At 35.4% G+C, this 25,047-nt stretch overlaps 1 long non-coding RNA gene across 1 annotated transcript in view, besides 1 other annotated feature; it reads right to left on the bottom strand.

Annotated features, from left to right (window-relative positions):
* The window catches only part of DISC1FP1 (DISC1 fusion partner 1), a 663,821-nt gene that overhangs the window by 315,552 nt on the left and 323,222 nt on the right, over positions 1–25,047 (bottom strand). The window lies entirely within an intron of this gene.
* Positions 13,698–14,199: an enhancer, noted in NCBI's record as "NANOG hESC enhancer chr11:90318470-90318971 (GRCh37/hg19 assembly coordinates)". NCBI's record gives its function as "activates a minimal SCP1, AML or CMV promoter by ChIP-STARR-seq in primed H9 embryonic stem cells {active_cell/tissue: H9 hESC(primed)}" and the evidence as "EXISTENCE:reporter gene assay evidence [ECO:0000049][PMID:30033119]".

Here is a 25,047-nt window from a genome sequence, read left to right as displayed (position 1 = left end):
ATAGCATCTGAGAAAAAAAAATTAGATATTTTTCTATTCATAGTGTTCTTCAATTTTTAAGACAAAAAATGGATTCTGAATTTTGTCAAATGCTTTTTCTGCAGCTATTGATATGATCATGTTTTTCTTTATTTAGTCTACTAATATAGTGGAAACGAATGATTAGCTTTCAAATGTTGAATTAGCATTGAATTCTGGTGTAAAACTATTTGGCCATGGTGTATCATACTCTCTATATATTGCGGTATTCCATTTTATAAAACGTGTTGAAGTAGCTCACAGTCATTTAACATATGAGGGATACTGGCCTCGAGTTTTCTTTTCATTCATTGTCGTTTTCTGGTCTTGGTATCAGAGTAACGTTGGCCTCATAAAATGAGTAGGGAAGTATTTCTTCTGCTATCATAAAAGATGATATACAACTGATACTAATTATTCCTTAAATGTTTGATAAAATTCTCCAGCAAATGTTTTCTTCTGCAGTGTTCTCTTTTGTTTGAAAAAATTTTTAACTAAAACTTTATGTTAAAAAATATAGCATCATAGATTATTAACTTATTTTTTATTGACTTTTAGCGGTTTCTGTCTTTCAAGGAATTGGCCCATTTCATCTGGGTAGTGGAACCAATGTGCATAGAGTCATTCAAGCTATTTTGTTATTATCCCTTTACCATCTATATTAATATTATTCCTCTTGTTGGCAATGTGTTGTCTTTCTTTTCTTATTGGAGAAACCGTCAAGAGGTTTATCAGTTTTATTGATGCTTTAAAAAATATTTTTGGCTTAATAAATTATTCTTTTGATTTTCTGTTCTTAATTTTAGTGATTCCTACTTTAATCTCTCTCATGTCCTTCTTTCTGCTTGGTTTAGCACTAGCTTTCTCTTCTTGTGCCTTAGGTGGTATCTAAAATTGCTGATTTAATATCCTGTTTTTCTAATGTGAGCATGTATTGCTATACATTTCCATCTCTGTAACATTTTAGCTGCATCTCATAAGTTTTGATATATTCTACTTCTACTTTCAAAATATTTTCTAGTTTCCTTTGAGACATATTCTTTGACATATGGATTATTTAGTTCTGTGTTAATTTCCAAATAGATGTGGACTTTCCAGACATCCTGTTATTGATTTTTAGTTTAATTTCCATATGACCAAAGAGTACATTTGGAATAAATCCAATTGTCTTATATTTATTAGTGTGTATTTTATGATCTAGAATGTGGTCTATCCTGCTGAATGTTTTATGTGCACTTTGTGTTAATGTGTATTCTGTTTTGCTGAGTGGAGTATTTCAGAAATGTCAGTTAATTCATCCTTGCTATTTTTTTTATTTTCATTCTATAGATTACAGATAGGTGAGTGTTGAAGTTTTCAAATATAATTGTAAATTTATCTACTGATCTTTCCAGTCTATCAGCTTTTGCTTTATGTATTTTGGATCTGGATTTAGGTGTATATAAATTTAGAAGTATTATGTTTTCTTAGTGAATTGACATCATCACTTTGTAATATTCCTCTTTGTCCCTAATAATTTCTTCATTCTAAAATTTAAAATTTGCTTTGCTTGATATTACTAAAGACACGTGAGCTGTTTTTTAAAATGGCTAGTGACATGATATTTTCTCTACCACACTATTTTAAATCAATATGCTTCAAGTGTATTGTTTATAAATAGTAGATAAAAAGGTATTTTAAAACATAAAATTAAAATGGCTTTTCTTTATATTTGGTATGCTTAGACTTACCTCCGATATTATTGATGGATTAAAGTCTGCCATTTTATTATTGGTCTTCTTGTGGGCCCTTCCTTTTTATTTCTGTTCCTCTGTGTTCCCTTTTTAAATTTTGCTTGTTTTTTAATGTTTTTTAGAATTCCATTTTGTCAACTGCAATTAAATATAGTTGCTGCTTTAGAGATTACAACACTCGTACAAAACCACTTCTTATTACTAAAAACAGTTCCTTACTCTCTTGCTTTTTTGATGTGACATCTACTTACATTGAAACTCCCATCAGAAAGTGTTATAATTTTAGCTTTCAACAGCCATACATAATTTAATAAACTTAAGCAGCAAAAAATGACCTATTTTACTAACCAGGTTTGGTTCTGTTATTTTATCTGACAATACCTTTATTTTGGCTTTATTCCAGAAAGAAATTTTTGCTAGTTGTAGGAATAAGATAACGTTTCTTTTCTATCAGTGATTTAAATATGTTGTTCAACTGTCTTCAATCTTCATGGTTTCTGGTGGATAATCTGAAGTAATTTGAATCTTTGTTTCTTTATATGATATGTACCACTTTTAAATTGGATGCTTCACAAAGATGTATTTTTTTATCTTTGGTTTCCAATAGTCTGACTTAGTGTGTCTGAGTGTAAATTTTTTGAATTCATCCTGTTAAGTTCACTGAGTTTGTTGAATTTTCCAACTTGTTTTTCCTCAAATTTGCAGAATTTGGGATCATTATTTCCTCACATATTTTTTGCATACCTATCTCTTTTTCTCTCTGACAGTCCAATGATACCAAGGTAAGACTTTTTGATATCATTTGATAGTTGCCTGAGGCTGTGTTTGCATCTTTCACAGTTTTTAGTTTCTCTGTTACTTAGGTTGGACAATTTATGTTGATCTGCCTAGAAGACCACCTCTGATGTTTGATCACTGCTACCACCTCTGCCTTGTATATGGTGTGGAAAGTAAAAAAGACTCTGCCCTGTGAGGCAGGATCCACTAAGCCAGTGACAAAGGGATGTTGCCTCAAAAAAAAAAGCTCTTTTTTCACAAGACAGTTTAAGAGTAGAACATGTAATTCTTACAAGTATAGCCATATTGCAGTTGAAAGCTAATCTATAGATTTGTGGTAGTCCTAAAGGAGACCTCACAGATAGAAGCACTGAAGGGGAAAACTTCTTAGTGAAAGAAAATGATTCCCTTGCCTGAAATATGAGAATAGAAATCTTGGATCAGGAAGAAGTGGATAGGGTGAAGAATAAATTTTCGATAGGCATTTAGTGTACAATTTATCAACATAAGGAGGAAGACAATTGGGGTAGAATTGAGGACTTTTTCAAACGTGTAAAAACAATAAACATTCCATTTGTAAGATCAGTAACGTATTTTAAAGCCTTTATTTTTACTTAAATAAAACCAAGAAGTATGAGGCAGAGAAAAACAGATTTCCATTTTTTTAAAAAAATGGTTTTATAGAAATTATAATGCAGGAAATAAGGCTACACTGTGAGGTGAAAGGTTTCCCATCCTGAATGTTTTAAGATAGTACAGCAGAAATTGGGCAACCACCTTGTAAGGATTGCACAAAGGGGAGTGCCACCCAGAGTTGAGAAGTTAGCAGATGATCAAACATCCCTTTCAACTCAAAAAAGCTAGAGTGATTTTAGTTACCTAAAAATAAAATCATTTACAAAAGGATAAAAACCAGAACAAAAGTAATGACTCAGAAAAATTTAAAATACTTGGTAAAAATAAATATTTAAAATAACACATTGTTTTGCTGATTTTCAAACTTCAGATCTAAAAATTTTCACCACCGAATCCCATAAATTAAACACATGCAGTATCATCTCTTACCAGCCAATCTATGTTTCATTTGGTTTATGAGTAATAAATAACAGAATATCTAGGTTACATTTATTATAAGAAATAATACCCTCCATAATATGTAGAGATAAATGTATTGACGAATAGGTTTAAATTTTTTTTAACATTGCTGATTAAGTTATATGTGAGTCAACAGAAGAGTCTGCCATAATTTTTAATATATATCAAATGTTTTTTAGAAAGCATACTCATTAACCATTTTATTTTTACTTGACTTGCAAATAAACAAAAATGAGTAATTTGATTTCATTATCTATGCAAACTGTCCCCATTTTTTAAAAGTCAAGGATCTTTAATAAATATCAATGCATACCCTTAGTATTCTATGGCCTCAATCTCTAAGGAAAACACAACAAAAGATTATTTACACTCTTATAATATTTTAACCAAGACTTATTGGTCACCTAATATGTGCCAGATGCTCTGATAGGCACTAGGTTATAAAATAAGGATATAGTCACTATTCTGAAGGAATCTGCAATCGAGGTAGATATACAAGCAAGAAGGTAAAGTCATAATAACAGTTATTTTAGAGTTTTTAATGTGTGGATTACACTTTGAAGTATTTTTATGTATTTATTTATTTGAGATTATAACAGTACTGTGAGATAGGCCCTGCTGATATAGCTGATTAAAAATCACAGACATGCTGCAATAATATTATAATCCTTATCTGCTGCAGGGGGTGAGTGCCACACATAAATTCCTAGTGGGCACAATGAAGGGGCATACGTCAGATTCTGTGTTCAACACTTTTTGGCATTCCATTCTCGGTGGAAAAGACAGATTAGCGTGCTTTAAAAAGCTGAATTTTCTGCTCCACTGTATAACTGGCATCCCATATATGATTTAGGATCCACCAATAATATTGCTTATATAAGCCTCTAAAAGTACTAAATTATTTGGGAAGAGAGGCAGAGTGCAGAAAATTTCTATTTTGACGATATATATCAACAAGCTGTGTAGTTCCAGAGCTGACCACTTCTCAATAAAGCACTTGACCCTGATTTGGCAGCCACCCAATTATGGCAGAGGTGGCTTGTTCTAGAGCTAGTGGCCACAGCAGCAGTTTCTTGGGTCTGCAAATCCTGGTAGAGGTAGCAGCTCCCTTGGCTTTGTTGAGCTGCAATTTTGGAAGTTTTCCTGGAAGTTTAGCTAAGAGTTCTTTTCATCAGTCTTCCTGGAAAACAATGTGAGCTCTTCCTAAAAATATTGTAAGCTGTTGATAACACTTAATAATTTTCTCCTTAAACTATTGTTATATTGTTATAAATTTGTTTAATACAGTTGCTGTCTCAGCATCCATTTTTAGTCCTGACATAAATTGTTTAAAACAATCATATCCTGTCACGTTTGGCTTAGTAAAAACTTACCTACCGTGTGGATGTGTTTGTGGTATAGCATTATTATTCCTTGTCCCACTGACCTGAAATCCAGCACACTCAACAGCTGCTGACGATGATAAAACCAGAGTCATGAAAATGTTTCCTCTTCCACATGTGTTTTTTAAACTACCCAGTCCTCACCTCTTGTGGGAAAGCCTAAAAAATAATGCTCATGGACTTTAGTAAAGATATAGTCCCACAGGTCCTTTCTCTCTCTCTTGCTCCCTGCCTGCTGGTTGAGCTCCATGCTGCCCCCAGACTTTTCCTGCCTCACCTCCCCATTGACACCACTAACCTCTCTGAGATCTGTAAATAATAAATTGCTTTCTGGTTCCAGCATTTTGGTTTCACCTCCTCATTGTAGCTCACCTAACTGACACACCTGAACCTAACTTTCCCTCTGTCAGGGTTCTCCTAGAGAGGGGCTGTCTTGGCTTATGGTTCCTCGCAACAGAGAACCCTCAAGACAAAATGAAAAAGAAATCAAAACAATGAAAAATCACAACTCTCTAGAATGTTTCTAATGTATTTACAATTTCTGACTAATTTTGAGCACCCTGTCCAGCCTGAGGGCAAAGAAATGGGATAAAGCAAGGATCTTGGAAGAAATAACTTCAGTGATGATCTTAAGGAAAGACTTCAAGAAAAGAAGGCTAAGAAGTCATCTGTGAAGTAGCAGTGTGTAGTATGTTCAGATGCATCAGAAAGTATCACATCCAGGGGATCATAAGTACTGGAATATTCACTATTGACATGGGATTACCTTGAAGTTTTATTTGAGACACGAAATTTCTCCTGAAAAGATTATGCAAAATATCTATATCATTTAATTAAAGCTTTCTGAGTTATGCTGGCATTAAAGACTCAACAATAGAATCTGATTAATGTAATTATAGCTTGTTACCTGTATGATTAAGGAAATATATGTTTGATACAGCACATCTCTCTAAAAGGAATGCACTTTGAGGTCAAATTTTTTTGTTGTCATTCTAGATTTTTTTTTTTTTTTTTTTTTTTTTTTTTGCCAAGAATTCCCATTATGCACTCTGTGGATTGTCCAGTGAAATCAATGCTTTGGCAAAAATAGTTTTTTTTTTTTTTTTTGGTCAACATGTATAGGACCACATTGAAGTTTATTCAATTCTGCTTCCTCTTTTTGAACAATGATTCAGTGCCAAATTTTGCTCTCACAGTTAACAGCCTACTTCCCTATCCACTCACCTTCTCTAGCCTCCGTGTCCTACAGATCCAACTAATACATTACCCTAATGTCCCACTCTACATGGAAAGTGTAGCCCAAAGGGTTAAACAATTTGCTCCAGTTCTTACAGAGTCAAAACCAGAAAGATCTGCCATACTCCAGAGACCTCACCTTAACTACCAAGTTTAGTTGCCAGGTTAACACCCAGAAAGAAACCATCTGAAGACAGCTGAAGGTTCTTAAAAAGAAGCACTTTGAATAGATGTATTAGTAGCTAATCTAAATCAAAGTAATTCTTCCTCTAATGTCATTCGGCCAGAGATATATTTTCTCCAACTAAGAGTATTCCTGATCACTAGACTTAACAATATAAACAAATAGAATCATGTAAATCTTTATGTGAATGTTCTTATAAAAATAGTCTTTTTATTTGAAATAAGATGGGAGGAAATGGGAAAGGAGAAAAAAGTAATTGTTAGAGAAACTGAGTTTACCAATTTTCTGTCTGATAATAATTTTTTTTTTTTTGAGATGGAGTCTCACTCTATTGCCCAGGCTGGAGAGCAGTGGCGCAATCTCGGCTCACTGCAACCTCCGCTTCCCAGGTTCAAGTGATTCTCCGGTCTCAGCCTCCTGAGTAGCTGGGATTACAGGCATGTGCCACCATGTCTGGCTAATTTTTTGTATTTTTTAGTGGAGATGTGGTTTCACCATGCTGGTCAAGCTGGTCTTGAACTCCTGACCACTTTGGCCTCCCAAAGTGTTGGGATTATAGGCATGAGCCACTGCACCCTGCCTTTTTTTGATTATGCTTTAAGTTTTAGGGTACATGTGCACAACGTGCAGGTTTGTTTCATATGTATACATGTGCCATGTTGGTGTGCTGCACCCATTAACTCATCATTTACATTAAGTATATCTCCTAATGCTATCCCTCCCCCCCAACCACTCCACAACATACCACCGTGTGTGACGTTCCCCACCCTGTGTCCAAGTGTTCTCATTGTTCAATCCCCACCTATGAGTGAGAACATGCGGTGTTTGGTTTTCTGTCCTTGTGATAGTTTGCTCAGAATGATGGTTTCCAGCTTCATCCGTGGCCCTACAAAGGACATGAACCCATCCTTTTTTATGGCTGCATAGTATTCCATGGTGTATTTGTGCCACATTTTCTTAATCCTATCATTGATGGACATTTGGGTTGGTTCCAGGTCTTTGCTATTGTGAATAGTGCCTCAATAAACATACATGTGCATGTGTCTTTATAGCAGCATGATTTAAAATCCTTTGGGTATATACCCAGTAATGGGATGGCTGGGTCAAATGGTATTTCTAGTTCTAGATCTTTGAGGAATCTCCACACTGTCTTCCACAATGGTTGGACTAGTTTACAGTCCCACCAGCAGTGTAAAAGTGTTCCTATTTCTCCATATCCTCTCCAGCACCTATTGTTTCCTGACTTTTTAATGATTGCCATTCTAACTGGTGTGAGATGGTATCTCATTGTGGTTTTGATTTGCATTTCTCTGATGGCCAGTGATGATGAGCATTTTTTCATGTGTCTGTTGGCTGCATAAATGTCTTGAGAAGGGTCTGTTCATGTCCTTCACCCACTTTTTGATGGGGTTGATTTTTTTTTGTAAATTTGTTTAAGTTCTTTGTGGATTTTGGATGTTAGCCCTTTGTCAGATGGGTAGATTGCAAAAATTTTCTCCTGTTCTGTAGGTTGCCTGTTCACTCTGATGGTGGTTTCTTTTGCTGTGCAGAAGCTCTTTAGTTTAATTAGATCCCATTTGTCTATTTTGGCTTTTGTTGCCATGCTTTCGTGTTTTAGTCCTGAAGTCCTTGCCCCTGCCTATGTCCTGAATCGTATTGCCCAGGTTTTCTTCTAGGGTTTTTATGGTTTTAGGTCTAACATTTAAGTCTTTAATCCATCTTGAATTGATTTTTGTATAAGGTGTAAGGAAGGGATCCAGTTTCAGCTTTCTACATATGGCTAGCCAGTTTTCCCAGCACCATTTATTAAATAGGCAATCATTTCCCCATTTCTTTTTTGTTAGGTTTGTCAAAGATCAGATGATTGTAGATGTGTGGTATTATTTCTTAGGGCACTGTTTTGTTCCATTGGTCTATATCTCTGTTTTGGTACCAGTACCATGCTGTTTTACTTACTGTAGCCTTGTAGTATAGCTTGAAATCAATTAGCATGATGCCCCCCTTTGATCTTTTGGCTTAGGATTGTCTTGGCAATGAGGGCTCATTTTTGGTTCCATATGCACTTTAAAGTAGTTTTTTAAAATGTTTGAAACTATGGAATGACTTGTGTGTTATTCATCACATTTGCTTTGTTCAATTTCAAAAGTAATTTTTGTTTTAAATAACTTGTTATAATATTAAACTCAATAAACACAGTTTAGTTTTTGATAGCTTAAAAGTAGAGGCAAAAATGTATCTTAGTGTCATTCCAGAATAATTTTTTAAATAGCTACTTTTTAAATTGTTTTTTACAGTGAATGTAACCAAGGCAAAACTCTTCTCAGGGGAAAACAATACATGAATATTGTAAGTCTGTTTTAGAATATGGTTAAAATCTATGTGTTTTAGAGTATATTGAGAAAAACAGTCTTTTTAAATAAAATATCTTTGAAAATCACTATCAAAGTAGAAGTTGTGAATGCGCTATGCTAACAGTGTGATTCCATACATTATGTCTCATGAGCTTGTTTTTATGTTAACATAAATGCAGAGCTTTTCCAGCTTCTGGCAAATCAAGAGGTAGACATACTGACCTGTCACATTTCAGATCATTCATTGGACTGCATTTACAAGTGGATGGGGTCTTCTGAGGACCTGCATTGACATGCACATACTGCCTTTCTGTAGCATGTGAACCAGATGCAAATCTGAGGCCTTTTTCTCTGGTCAGCCCCCTCATTCCAGAGAGCAGGATTAAAAAGCATTTCTGTATCCCTTAGATAAGTGTTGTGAACACATCTTCCTAGGCCTTAGCAAATAAGGAAATTATTTGTTGTTTAATATTTCTAATGTATAACTATTAAAAATAATTAGTTATGAAGATAAGTTTGCTTCCTTGTGATCTGTATATTTGTATTGTTAAACATAATGGCTTAGAAAATATGTTTTGAAGGTCAAACCTTCAATTAAAAATGAAAATACTGATGTAATTTTACCTATTTCATTCATTTGCTTTCAGAGAACTAATTCATGAAAAATGAAATAACACCTACAAGTTCACAACTGCTTAATTTAGTAAAACGATATAACCCTTCCTACTCACGGGTTGTGTTTCCTGTGAAGCTGTTCACACCCTGAAGCTAGCCACACAGCAAGTCACATTATACTGAGCTGTCATTTTAGGTTATTACTGTGCCATATTACCTCATCTAATTGTGAAGATGCTATTTCTGCTTTATTTTACATGAATAAAACACTTAATAACATATTTCATGTGACAGGTTAAAAAAAATCCTGACAGGGTCTGTACTATAAATTAAAATAAATGAGAGCTCTTGATCTCATCAAGAAAATTATAAGTCATCATGACCATTTTGTCTTAAATTGCAATATTTTCTTGAACTATGATGCAACATTCCCTTTTGTTCACAAAGGAGGCCATCAATGGATATTCGTAAATATCTTTAAATAAAAGATATTTATGTAATGTTTTCTTTAAATAAAAATGATGTGCTACATTTTAATAAGACAATGCTATGAACTCAGAATGAATCTTCTCATTCCCCTATAAGTAAGTAGTATACTCTTTAACATGATAATGAAGTCCAGTGATTATGGGTAAAAATCACTGGGCAGTATTGCAACATGTGCAACTTTTATTTTGTAGAAACAGTTTTTCCTCATAAATATCGGCAACTGCACCAATATTTCTGTTTTTATCCCCTAGAGTGCTAAACACATTATATTCAGTTGAGGAGTGGAAATATAGCTGATTTCCAATTGCAAGGAGCTGGTAAAGCCTTTAGTAACAATGTCAGAGTAACAAATTTAATCACCTTATGAAAGTTCCACAGGGAATGGTACATAGTTTGGGAGAAAAATATATTTCATTTTATATACATAGTAAATTAAATACATAAAATAAACAAACATATTGTGATATTTTAAAAACCAAACAAGTATGTCTACTGGTAAAACATATTTGTTTTTATTATTTTGAGAGATTCTTACCTAGCCTTAAATATAGACAAAACTGTAGAGTTTTCCCCAACTATTACCACCACTACTTCCTGTCATTCTGATAATTGACACCACAAAACATGCCATTAGAAAATCTTCAGTGAAATTATATCTCTAATGTGTACTCTAAGCATGTATCATGATTTTTTCTTAATAGAAATAGTATTGAAGATTTTTCCATTTGTGAATCATATGCTGGACAACAAGGATGACCAACTCAATAACTCCCATCTTACAGTCCAAGAAACTATTCCGTGGTTGAGTAACATTGAAACTATAGTGACATCTAGCAGCAAACATATTCGACATGATGAATCTTATATGAGAGTCCTATAAATGCACCAAATGTAATTAATTCAAGGATCCCAGCCTTTTCTCAAGGTGACAAGTATAATTTTATTTCTCGAATAGTTCCTTAAATAACCATCTTTTGTAAAGTAAATGAAATAAATCATATTTGATTTCTGCCTCCCAAACTACAATTTGTTTTAAACATTCAAATAAGAGTGCAATGAATGACTTTGATGTCAAGCTGTATTTTTACAACAGCTGTTGTTGTATTATTGAATCTATCTGCATTGCAGATTAGCTTTAACATTGTGCATGTTAAAAAATAAAAGATGCTTTTCTGTTAGCATAGTTAATGAGCTGCTTCTAAAATGTAATGTATGTCACCTATATGGCCTGGAAATAAACAAGTTTGATATTTTACTTTAGAGAAATATGATAAAATCAGAATTGCAAACTTAAATTTAAAATTTTATGTGAAAAAATCATTTCCTGACTATAAATGGATAGATATTTTAAAATATTCTAAGAATTTTATTCCACAACATAAATGTGGCAAAACTGTTTAATTTCTTTCTTCAAACAATATTAGAATTTGACTCATATAAATTGCCTCCAGACTGTGCCATTTTCTTGGTTTCGATTTTGCTTTACTACAGATGCTTTTTTTTTTTTTCTTTTTGAGACAGCATCTAGCTCTGTTGTTGCCCAGGCTGCCAGGCTGGAGTGAGGTGGCGTGATATTAGCTCACTGCAACCTCCACCTCCCGGGTTCATGCACTCCTGCCTCAGCCTCCCGAGTAACTGGTATTACAGGCATCTGCCACCACGCCCGGCTAATTTTTGTATTTTTTTTTTTTTAAACTACAGACGAGATTTTACCATGTTGGCCAGGCTGGTCTGGAACTCCTGACCTCAAGTGATCTGCCTGCCTCAGCTTCCCAAAGTGCTGGGATTACAGGCATGAGCCACCACACCGGCCCAGATGCTTCTTCTAATTAGTGTAGGAATCTAATTCCAAGGTCTTTAGTGGAGCAAAAATAAGTTTGGAGAGGATCCCTACATTTGTGCCAGTAGCCTCCATTAGGATCTCCACATTGAGAGTTTGTATTGTGTTATAGAAAATTAGACTTTGCTAACACTGAGGTTTATGTGTTACATTAAAATATTTTCCAATTATTCCTGTTATTATGAGAAAAAAAGAGAGAAAAAATTTTCCTCTCTAGAAGCAAGTATTAAAATTTCTGTCAGTCTCGCATGAAGGTGGTAAAATATATTTTATTTTGCAAAAAGTTGCCAAACTATCATAGATGAAACTCCCAATATGAAGAAATGAAAAGGAAAGTAGAAGCATGCCAAATGATGAAACATGTCTTGAGTTTTGTTTTTTTTTTAATGATGTTGAGAAGTCTCAGGGGTGATAAAAAGCCTCTTTCTGCCTCCATTAAAAAAAATAAACAGTAGCAAGTTTATATGAAGTTTAGTTTATATAGTGTGGGGGGGTTCCTCTTTTTGAGAATTTGTCAAGTACAGATAATGTATTTTTTGGAGAGTAAAAAGTTGCTTGGAAATTAGCTGAAAAGAGAGAGAAGAAATGAAACAATACAGACTCCATCACTGTTGTTAAAGTTTTACGCTCCCTACAGACTGAGGCTGTCTGCACAGCAAGGCCAATTCTTTATCTTTGATCTGTTAGTGAAGATCTTCAAATCCGTCTGCATAGATGATAAACACAACAGATTACTGTGAGAAAACAAAGGAGCTTTTGAAAGGAAATAGAGGAAAGAAAAGTGAAACAAATGCATAAGCCATATTAAAAATATATAAAGCTCCACTACAAAAAATAAATGTTCAGCAGAAAGAAAGAGTAGGTTTAAAACATTTAGATTTAATAACAATGATCATTTACTAATAGCTAACCATTTGAGCCCTTTAAATGGGCCAGGAACTCTGTTATGAACTTTACATTTACAAACTCATTTTTTTCTCACCACAGACCAAGTAAGATGCATACAGATAATCCAGCTAAAACGTAGTAGAACCAGGATTCACATCCAAGTAGTGCTACACTTATAATCACTAGAATAGACCACATCTCAAATTGATGGGTCATTTTGTGTGGCAAGCACTGGATCAACAAGTACATGTATCTACTTTATACCACCTTTGAGAAGTATGCATTTGTCTCTATCTTATAGATGAGAAACAGGAGATTAGAAAAGAAAGCCCAAAATTCCAGTAGCTTAACAGAATTTCAGTGTCTGATATTCTTCCTATTGCATTCTTAAAGAAAATGAAGATTATTTTATGATGGTTGTTTTATGATATAGAATATAATTGAAGAACTAGTTGTCATCTATGTGTTTTCTGCTTCCCCCAAGTAAGAACTTATTATTAAAAAGACATCCTGTGACTAATGGAAAAAATTCAGACTTTAGAACCATATCTCAGCTTTGCCATGCTCTGGCTGTGTTTTCCTGAGCATGCTTGCTAAATGTGCTGAGAATCCATTTCCTTAAGGAGAAAAACTGATTCATACGTTTCTCAGATCATTGCTAGAAAAATTTGAGCTCAATTAAAAATGTGCTTATCCTACAGAAAGTGCTCAGCTACTTTGAAATTTTAATCATTATATTTATTTGTGCTTTTGTTCTAAGGATGGCTCCAATTTATGGGAAATCCTCAAAGAAATAAAGAAGCTTCCAGGAAGAGCATGAACATTTGAGACAGACTGGCTGGCTGGTTTTATAGTCAGAAATTAGTCTAGTAGAAATGGATCCCATTAATATTTTAAAAAGCAAGGCCTATATATAGAAATAATTATAGAGTGTCAATCAGCAGCATTATGTAAATAACAATGTAGCTGGACCTACTGTCATAGCTGAAGAAAAGATTTTCAATACCTCCACGGCACATGTTTCAAAACATTGCTCCATGCATCAGGGCCTCATTTCCATTAACCTGATGGAGCCTGGTGGCTGGAATTGCCTGCTCTAAAAATTTCATGAGAACTGCTTTTGAATGTGCTATTTGGCAGTTTTTCTTTTGTCCTCTAACCACAACTAAATTATCTTTTCTTGAAATCACCTCTAACTATTAGGCATCAGTGAGTGAGACCCAGATTCAGAATATAATGGGAGCCCACTTGCCAGCAGGAAACACATTAAAGCAAACCTTCTAATGGCAAGAATCTATTTAAGCTGTTTCTCCCAAGGGAAGTGGTTCAAGGCCCATTGCCTAACAAAATTAAAATAAGATTGAACAAAAGGCTGCAACTTATTCATTGGGGGATCATTCTACAAAAACAATGGCAAGCATAGGTATTGTCTCTCATGGAAGAGTCTTAAATTTCTAGAATTTTATTCTCTTCATTTAAGCCACTCTATTAAATGCATAAGGTTATTTAAATTCTATAAATTTATAAGACCATATATATATAAATTCATTTATAAATTAGAAATTATCTGATCACATATCCTGATTTTAAGATTATAATATTGTCAAGGTATATAGAAAACTAGCTAGCACAATGATAGGACCTATTTATATTCAATTATTTGATTTTCTACTTAGTCAGAAAATAGAAAGAAAATAATGTCATGTCATTTCAGTTAAGTTCAGTGATAAAAAGATGTCAAAATGTGTGCTGTTTATGCTGTTTAGAAGCTTACATGCTCTTACCATTTTAATGTTATGTTTTTGCTTGAGAAAATTATTTACAATTTTTTATTGTTTCATGGTCATAGATTATTAAACTGACTTGGAGAATTAACTTATGTCTGAAGTGTAGACTGAAATCAGCCTACTGTATAGGAAGGTATCTTCATTTCTACTTTTATATGGAAATATCCTTAAAAGAGTTAAATTGCGAATCCTGAGTCTTATGTGCTATTGGAAACAGCTTAAACCCAGAGCTTTCTTTACAAATACAAGTTGAGAAAAATTGAATGGACAAGAATTTTTCTCCATTTCATCCTCCTAGTTTTCTCCTCTAACATGATTTGACATGTTTTTTTTTACAATTCTGAATAAAGAAAATTCAATATCAAAGAGCATATGGTATATTAAATTGCTTCTAAAGAAAAAACAATTTCTATATTCCCACAAACAATGTGGGTAACGTCACATGGAATAAAACAATTTATAAATAATTAGTTTTTAATTGCATGTTGGTTAGTTTGGAGTCTGTAGAATATCTGTTGCTTCTAAATCATGTAGTGAAAAGCATAAGGCTTGATTTTTTAAATAAATCTGAATCATAGAAAGGTTCAATTATCTAATCATTCTTACTAGTAATCATTCTGATTGATAAATGTGACAATAAAATTCACTTTAATGGGCAGGTAGCAGTTACAACAATAACTGATTACTTTTGTGGAATAATCTCAGAGATAAAGAAGAATTTCTCACTTTTCTCAACTAAAGAACATATCATTCAACAACCTGCAAAGCTAAAAAGTACACAAGCAGTGGTGTATCACCTTATCTGTGATATTTTTTAACATTTTCTTTTTCTTAAGGAAATTGAGATGAATATGTGGTAAATAGAAAGCTTGAGATGAATCTTTGACCCTTAAGATTATCTATTCTAGAACTACTACTCCTCGCTGGAACAAATGAAATGATCTCAGAAAGATGGGCATCTAGGAAAAGTGATATTGCCTTCATTTATTAAATTATTTTAAAGCTTTTCCTGCTTCTTCATAATCATATATTATTTATCAATTGTTAACCACATCAGTTTAAATGAATGTCTAGGAGACTTCTTACATCATCCTTTCCTGATTATTGCAGGTAGGTGAGTCCCAGGTAGGAAGAAAGAAGATATTGACTAAATAATCCAGAGGGTAAGGAGTGTTGAATTCCTGAGCCAAAAATTAGAAAACAGAATTAATATTACCAACTTAAGAAGTGAAAAAGGGAAAAATGAAGAGTGATCAAGTCAGAAGAAAATAGCTAATGAGGTCAGATGGATCTAAGTGTAAATGTCCATTCGGCCACCTATGATCTGAGTGATTCTCACAAATTTAACTCTTCTAGGTTCAGATTTCCTTTCTGGAAAAAAAAATGGGTCTAATATTAACATACTAAGAATGTATTTCATGACTAAACTTTTAACATCACATCACATATAAAGCACCTTACAAAGCACAAATGATACATCTGAAAAATCTACTTATCAGGTGGAGTCAAGATGGCTGAATAGGAACAGCTCCAGTCTACAGCTCCCAGCGTGAGCAACACAGAAGACAAATGATTTCTGCATTTCCAAATGAGGTACCGGGTTAATCTCACTGGGGCTTGTCAGACAGTGGGTGCAGGAAAGTGGGTGCAGCGCACCGAGCGTGAGCCAAAGCAGGGCGAGGCATCAACTCACCCAGGAAGTGGAAGGGGTCAGGGAATTCCCTTTCCTAACCAAGAAAAGGGTTGACAGACAGCATGTGGAAAATCAGGTCACTCCCACCCTAATACTGCGTTTTTCCAACGGTCTTAGCAAACAGCACACCAGGAGATTGTATACTGCAGCAGGCTTGGAGGGTCCTACACCCATGGAGCCTCAATCATTGCCAGCACAGCAGTCTGAGATCAAACTGCAAGGCGGCAGCGAGGCTGGGGGAGTGGTGCCCACCATTGCCGAGGCTAGAGTAGGTAAACAAAGTGGCCAGGAAGCTCGAACAGGGTGGAGCCCACCACAGCTCAAGGAGGCCTGCGTGCCTCTGTAGACTCCACCTCTGGGGGCAGGGCATAGCCAAACAAAAGGCAGCAGAAACCTCTGCAGACTTAAATGTCCCTGTCTGACAGCTTTGAAGAGAGTAGTCGTTCTCCCAGCATGCAGCTTGAGATCTGAGAACGGACAGACTGCCTCCTCAAATGGGTCCCTGACCGCCGAGTAGCCTGACTGGGAGGTACCCCCAATTAGGGGCAGACTGACACCTCACACGGCCAGGTACCCGTCTGAGAAAAAACTTCCAGAGGAACGATCAGGCAGCAACATTTGCTGTTCACCAATATCCACTGTTCTGCAACCTCCACTGCTGATACCCAGGAAACAGGGTCTGGAGTGGACCTCCAGCATACTCCAACAGACCTGCAGCTGAGGGTCCTGACTGTTAGGAGGAAAACTAACATACAGAAAGGACATCCACACCAAAACCCCATCTGTACATCACCATCATCAAAGACCAAAGGTAGATAAAACCACAAAGATGGGGAAAAAACAGAGCAGAAAAACTGAAAATGCTAAAAAGCAGAGCACCTCTCCTCCTCCAAAGGAATGCAGCTCCTCACCAGCAACAGAATAAAGCTGGATGGAGAATGACTTTGACGAGTTCAGAGAAGAAGGCTTCAGACGGTCAAACTACTCCGAGCCAAAGGAGGAAGTCTGAACCCACGGCAAAGAAGTTAAAAACCTTGAAAAAAAATTAGATGAATGGCTAACTAGAATAATCAATGCAGAGAAGTCCTTAAAGGACCTGATGGAGCTGAAAACCACAGCACAAGAACTACGTGATGAATGCACAAGCCTCAGTAGACAATTTGATCAACTGGAAGAAAGGGTATCAGTGATGGAAGATCAAATGAAAGAAATGAAGTGAGAAGAGAAGTTTAGAGAAAAAAGAATAAAAAGAAACGAACAAAGCCTCCAAGAAATATGGGACTATGTGAAAAGACCAAATCTACATGTGATTGGTGTACCTGAAAGTGACAGGGATAATGGAACCAAGTTGGAAAACACTCTGCAGGATATTATCCAGGAGAACTTCCCCAATCTAACAAGGTAGGCCAACATTCAGATTCAGGAAATACAGAGAATACCACAAAAATACTCCTCGAGAAGAGCAACTCCAAGACACATAATAGTCAGATTCACCAAAGTTGAAACGAAGGAAAAAATGTTAAAGGCAGCCAGAGTGAAAGGTCGGGTTACCCACAAAGGGAAGCCCATCAGACTAACAGTTGATCTCTCAGCAGAAACTCTACAAGACACAAGAGACTGGGGGCCGTATTCAACATTCTCAAAGAAAATAATTTTCAACCCAGAATTTCATATCCAGCCAAACTAAGCTTCATAAGTGAAGGAGAAATAAAATACTTTATAGACAAGGAAATGCTGAGAGATTTTGTCACCACCAGGCCTGCCCTAAAAGAGATCCTGAAGGAAGCACTAAATATGGAAAGGAACAACCGCTACCAGCCACTGCAAAAAATTGCCAAATTTCAAAGACCAACCAGGCTAGGAAGAAACTGCATCAACTAACGAGCAAAATAACCAGCTAACATCATAAAGACAGGATCAAATTCACACATAACAATATTAACTTTAAAGTTAATGGGCTAAATGCTCCAACTAAAAGACACAGACTGGCAAATTGGATAAAGAGTCAAGACCCATCACTGTGCTGTATTCAGGAAAGCCATCTCATGTGCAGAGAAACACATAGGCTCAAAATAAAGGGATGGAGGAAGATCTACCGAGCAAATGGAAAACAAAAAAAAGCAGGGGTTGCAATCCTAGTCTCTGATAAAACAGACTTTAAACCAACAAAGATCAAAAGAGACAAAGAAGGCCATTACATAATGGTAAAGGGATCAATTCAACAAGAAGAGCTAACTATCCTAAATATATATGCACCCAATACAGGAGCACCCAGATTCATAAAGCAAGTCCTTAGTGACCTACAAAGAGACTTAGACTCCCACACAGTAATAATGGGAGACTTTAACAACCCACTGTCAATATTAGACAGGTCAACGAGACAGTAAGTTAACAAGGATATCCAGGAATTGAACTCAGCTCTGCACCAAGAGGACCTAATAGACATCTACAGAACTCTCCACCCCAAATCAACAGAAAATACATTCTTCTCAGCACCACATCACACTTATTCCAAAATCGACCACATAATTGGAAGTAAAATACCCCTCAGCAAATGTAAAAGAACAGAAATTATAACAAACTGTCTCACAGACCACAGTGCAATGAAACTAGAACTCAGGATTAAGAAACTCACTAAAAACCACTCAACTACATGGAAACTGAACAACCTGCTCCTGAATGACTACTGGGTACATAACGAAATGAAGGCAGAAATAAAGATGTTCTTTGAAACCAATGAGAACAAAGACACAACATACCAGAATCTCTGGGACATATTCAAACCAGTGTGTAGAGGGAAATTTATAGCACTAAGTGCCCACAAGAGAAAGCAGGAAAGATCTAAAATTGACACCCTAACATCACAATTAAAAGAACTAGAGAAGGAAGAGCAAACACATTCAAAAGCTAGCAGAAGCCAAGAAATAACTAAGATCAGAGCAGAACTGAAGGAAAAAGAAACATAAAAAACCCTTCAAAAAATCAATAAATCCAGGAACTGGTTTTTCGAAAGGATCAACAAAATTGATAGACCACTAGCAAGACTAATAAAGAAGAAAAGAGAGAAGAATCAAATAGACACAATAAACATTGATAAAGGGGATATCACCACCGATCCCACAGAAATACAAACTACCATCAGAGAATACTATAAACACCTCTATGCAAATAAACTAGGAAATCTAGAAGAAATGGATAAATTCCTTGACACATACACCCTCCCAAGACTAAACCAGGAAGAAGTTGAATCTCTGAATAGACCAATAAGGGGCTCTGAAATTGAGGCAATAATTAATAGCTTACCAACCAAAAAAAGTCCAGAACCAGATGGATTCACAGCCGAATTCTACCAGAGGTACAAGGAGGAGCTGGTACCATTCCTTCTCAAACTATTCCAATCAATAGAAAAAGAGGGAATCCTCCCTAACTCATTTTATGAGGCCAGCATCATCCTGATACCAAATTCTGGCAGAGACACAACAAAAAAGGAATTTTAGACCAATGTCCCTGATGAATATCAATGCAAAAATCCTCAATAAAACACCAGCAAACCGAATCCATCAACACATCAAAAAGCTTATCCACCATGATCAAGTGGGCTTCAACCCTGCGATGCAAGGCTGGTTCAATATACGCAAATCAATAAACGTAATCCAGCATATAAACAGAACCAAAGACAAAAACCACATGATTATCTCAATAGATGCAGGAAAGGCCTTTGACAAAATTCAACAACACTTCATGCTAAAAACTCTCAATAAATTAGGTATTGATGGGACGTATCTCAAAATAATAAGAGCTATCTATGACAAACCCACTGCCAATATCATACTGAATGGGCAAAAACTGGAAGCATTCCCTTTAAAAACTGGCAAAAGACAGGGATGCCCTCTCTCACCACCCTATTCAACATAGTATTGGAAGTTCTGGCCAGTGCAATCAGGCAGGAGAAAGAAATAAAGGGTATTCAATTAGGAAAAGAGGAAGTCAAATTGTCCCTGTTTGCAGACGACATGATTGTATATCTAGAAAACCCCATTGTCTCAGCCCAAAATCTCCTTAAGCTGATAAGCAACTTCTGCAAAGTCTCAGGATACAAAATCAATGTGAAAAAATCACAAGCATTCTTATACACCAATAACAGACAAACAGAGAGCCAAATCATGAGTGAACTCCCATTCACAATTGCTTCAAAGAGAATAACATACCTAGGAATCCAAGTTACAAGTGATGTGAAGGACCTCTTCAAGGAGAACTACATACCACTGCTCAATGAAATAAAAGAGGATACAAACAAATGGAAGAACATTCCATGCTCATGGGTAGGAAGAATCAATATTGTGAAAATAGCCATACTGCCCAAGATAATTTATAAATTCAATGCCATCCCCATCAAGCTACCAATGACTATCTTCACAGAATTGGATAAAACTACTTTAAAGTTCATGTAGAACCAAAAAAGAGCCCACATTGCCAAGTCAATCCTAAGCCAAAAGAACAAAGCTGGAGGCATCATGCTACCTGACTTCAAACTATACTATAAGGCTACAGTAACCAAAACAGCATGGTACTGGTACCAACACAGAGATACAGATCAATGGAATAGAACAGAGCCCTCAGAAATAATGCCACATATCTACAACTATCTGATCTTTGACAAACCTGAGAAAAACAAGCAATGGGGAAAGGATTCCCTATTTAATAAATGGTGCTGGGAAAACTGTCCAGGCATATGTAGAAAGCTGAAACTGGATCCCTTCCTTACACCTTATACAAAAATCAATTCAAGATGGATTAAAGACTTGAACATTAGACCTCAAACCATAAAAACCCTAGAAGAAAACCTAGGCCATGCCTTCAGGACATAGGCATGGGCAAGGACTTCATATCCAAAACACCAAAAGCAATGGCAACAAAAGCCAAAATTGACAAATGGGATCTAATTAAACTAAAGAGCTTCTGCACAGCAAAACAAACTACCATCACAGTGAACAGACAACCTACAGAATGGGAGAAAATTTTTGCAATCTACTCATCTGACAAAGGGCTAATATCCAGAATCTACAATGAACTCAAACAAATTTACAAGAAAAAAACAAACAACCCCATCAAAAAGTGGGCGAAGGATATGAACAGACACTTCTCAAAAGAAGACATTTATGCAGCCAAAAAACACATGAAAAAATGCTCATCATCACTGGCCATTAGAGAAATGAAAATCAAAACCACAATGAGATACCATCTCACACCAGTTAGAATGGTGATCATTAAAAAGAAACAACAGATGCTGGAGAGGATGTGGAGAAATAGGAACACTTTTACACTGTTGGTGGGACTGTAAACTAGTTCAACCATTGTGGAAGTCAGTGTGGCGATTCCTCAGGGATCTAGAACTAGAAATACCATTTGACCCAGCCATCCCATTACTGGGTATATACCCAAAGGATTATAAATCATGCTGCTATAAAGACACATGCACACGTATGTTTATTGAGGCACTATTCACAATAGCAAAGACTTGGAACCAACCCAAATGTCCAACAATGATAGACTGGATTAAGAAAATGTGGCACATATACACCATGGAATACTATGCAGCCATAAAAATGATGAGTTCATGTCCTCTGTAGGGCCATGGATGAAGCTGGAAACCATCATTCTCAGCAAACTATCAAAGGACAAAAAACCAAACACCGCATGTTCTTACTCATAGGTGGGAATTGAACAATGGGAACACATGAACACAGGAAAGGGAACATCACACACCTGGGCCTGTTGTGGGGTGGGGGGAGAGGGGAGGGATAGCATTAGAGATATACCTAATGTTAAATGGCGAGTTAATGGGTGCAGCACACCAACATGGCACATGTATACATATGTAACAAACCTGCATGTTGTGCACATGTACCCTAAAACTTAAAGTATAAAAAGAAAAGAAAAATCTACTTATCTTTGTCTTGTTAGTCTTTTTGTTTGTTTTAGAGATTGTAGTGGTTTTATAAGATTTTATAACTTTGCAGGACTATCCCTTTGTGTATGTTTCTAATTTCAAAAATCATTGCTTTTTATTTTTTATTTTTGGACCATAAGTGTATGTTCCTCCTTAGGGGAATAACTTCTTCTACCTTGATCTAAACCAGCAACTCATGCCAGCCTTCCCTTTTCCTGGCTAATTAGCTCATAGTTTTACTTTCTCAATGTAAACTTTATTTCCTCAGGGATCATTTCTCTGATCACCCACCTTGCCATCTAGATAAGTTTAATTTCTCTGTCACAGCTCTCACAATACCCTGTGTTTTATTATCTGTACTTTAATGTTTTCATTTATTCCTCCAAAGGTAGTGGGCACTTATAATTGAATTATGTTTGTGACTTTAATTTAATGTCACCTCACCCATCATTGCATACTCCTGGAGAGGCTGTTGAGAATACTCCCCTTTACACCTACACATCTAGCATGATGCATGCTAGAAAGGTGGGTTCAATAAATTGTTGGGCATTTATGGATGTTGAATATCTTATACATATAAAAGAAAATTCTAGCATCATCAGTGCTATTTTAAATTACTTAAAATCAATATTTTATCTAGCATTTGATAATAGTTATAGGATCTATACTAAATAATCTAAGGCACAGTTACAATCATAATTGCAAGTCAAGTACTTGGCGATTAAACACACACTCTTGGGATTTTTTAGTCACAGGAATTTTTTAGCCATAAAAATCAATCAATCAATCAATCAATCTCTCTCTCTCTCCCCCTCTTCCTCTCCCTCTCTCCCCCCTTCATCTCCTTCCCCCTCTCTCCCTCTATCCGCCGTCTCTGTCTCTGTGTGTGTGTCTCTCTTCCCTTCTCTCTAGTGCACATGTATACACACAATTATACACAAAAACACACACAGGAAAGGAATAAGAGTATAAATTTTCAGGTAGATAATCATTTCAGCCTTCAGTAATGTGCAAATGTGCAATTACACACAAAAATGCATCACCTAGAGGATAAATAAGAGAGGAAAATCATTATATTGTAATTTCCATGAGTTGCTTATTAGGTAAGTCTATTTAGTGAAGACCTACATTTTGTCCCATTGTAATGTGAATCACATTTTACATTCATGATTTATATCACATTTTCCTTTCCTATTCTATTATCTTCTTTTTCTAAAACAAACAACAAATTATAATATTTAATGTAGTGTTAGAAAGAAATGAGAGAACATTCAGTTTGGATTTCAAAATTCGGCTTAATATATTGCAGCATCTGCACCTCTTCTAATTAGAGATAACTATAAAACATCTTGGCTCTATGCAAATAACACCAAATCTAATGGTGTTATAATGACTTGCTCTTCTACTCTTGAAGATAACCCTCAAACCTAAAATAGCTAAACCTGGTAAGAAATTGGCCAGCAAACTCGATAAGCACTTGCCTTGCAGGTAATCCATAGAATGCCTTTTTTCAATGTTAAATTACCTTTATAAAGAATCTAAACAGTCTAATTCTTAAATTAATAATAAATTCATTTCATAAATCTGCTATCAGTATAAAAGTCACTATAACAAATATCTAGACAATATACTATCTTAGAATGCAGCTCAGTCTATTCAAAAATTGATCTGCTGCAGTGATGTGGGTTTCTATCTTTTGGATATATGTTGAGCCTTAGATACCTATGTATCAGACCTTGCTGTTTCACCTCCATTACCTGCTAGCGTTTTGTCTCTGGAGCTTATTGACTATAGAAATATATTATAAGATCTCTACCTCTTTTCAGGGAGAGATGTCATAAGAAAAATATTAGAAATTCTTAAAAGTGAAATAAACCAACTGTTACTGATTACTCAAGAAATATAAGAGAACATTTTTAGTAGTGTGAAGTGTCCTTAAGGTTACTCATTAATAAAAAAAGCTAATGTGTTCTAAAACTCAGCATTTTGGTTAGTGTTTAAATTATTTAGAAGTAAGAATTAAGAACACATGAACAGTGGGCCAGGGGCATGAGTTGCTAAAGCAATGCTAATTATTAAACATGCTTGAAGGTAGCAATTAATATCAGAAGATCAATTTTACTTTTAAATATTTTACTTTTACAAGCTATTGGGAAAGTATATCTGAAACTACTGTATAAGTGAAACCACTATTAAAAACCTCAGTTTGTATATTATGAATTGGTTAAGATATGGCTTAGAGTGTATTTTCACAGATTATAATGGGAACGCTTCTCTCACATAACAGAGAAAGACTCCTCACCTTGTAAGATTCCATCCTTAGTACACCAGGCTTTTAAAAGGATCATTTGAGATCTTGATGTATTTAGATCATTGAATCATTCAATGCTTATGCCAGAATCAATCACTTCACATGCAGTTGAGTTTGTAAAAGAACCACTCAGCTGCCATGCACCCTAATCTGTATTTTCAGCTGAAAACCTATGTACAAACTACTGCCCCAGATAAGAATTATACACTATGAAATAGAGTGGGGAAGAGTAACTTTAGAGAGCAGAAACCTGGGAAACACTACCTCAGAGAGTTGATGAATGTCAACATTAAATGTGGTAACTCATGTTAATAGTATATATCCTTGATATGATGTGATAAAAATTGCACTTTGCTTCTGTGATTTTCCTCCTCAGAACCCAGAACCCCAAAATAATTATGATAAAAAAATCAGATAAGTCTCAAGTGAGGGATGCTTTACAAAATATCTAAACAATGATTCTCAAAACTGTCAAGAACAACAAAAACAAGGAAAGTCTAAGAAACCATCACACCCAATAGTAGCATACAGACAGGATAACAAAATGTAATATGATATCCTTGTGGAATCCTGGATCAGAAAAGGGACATTAGACAAAAATTAAGAAAAACTGAATAATGAATGCACTTTAATTAATAATTATATGCAAACATTGCTTTATTAATTATGGTCAATGAACCCTACTAATATATTATGTT

The sequence above is a fragment of the Homo sapiens genome, chromosome 11 (assembly GCF_000001405.40).
Source record: "Homo sapiens chromosome 11, GRCh38.p14 Primary Assembly".
NCBI lineage: Eukaryota > Metazoa > Chordata > Mammalia > Primates > Hominidae > Homo > Homo sapiens.
Note: the sequence above shows the minus strand (reverse complement) of the source record. Positions and strands in the feature narration are given on the sequence as shown.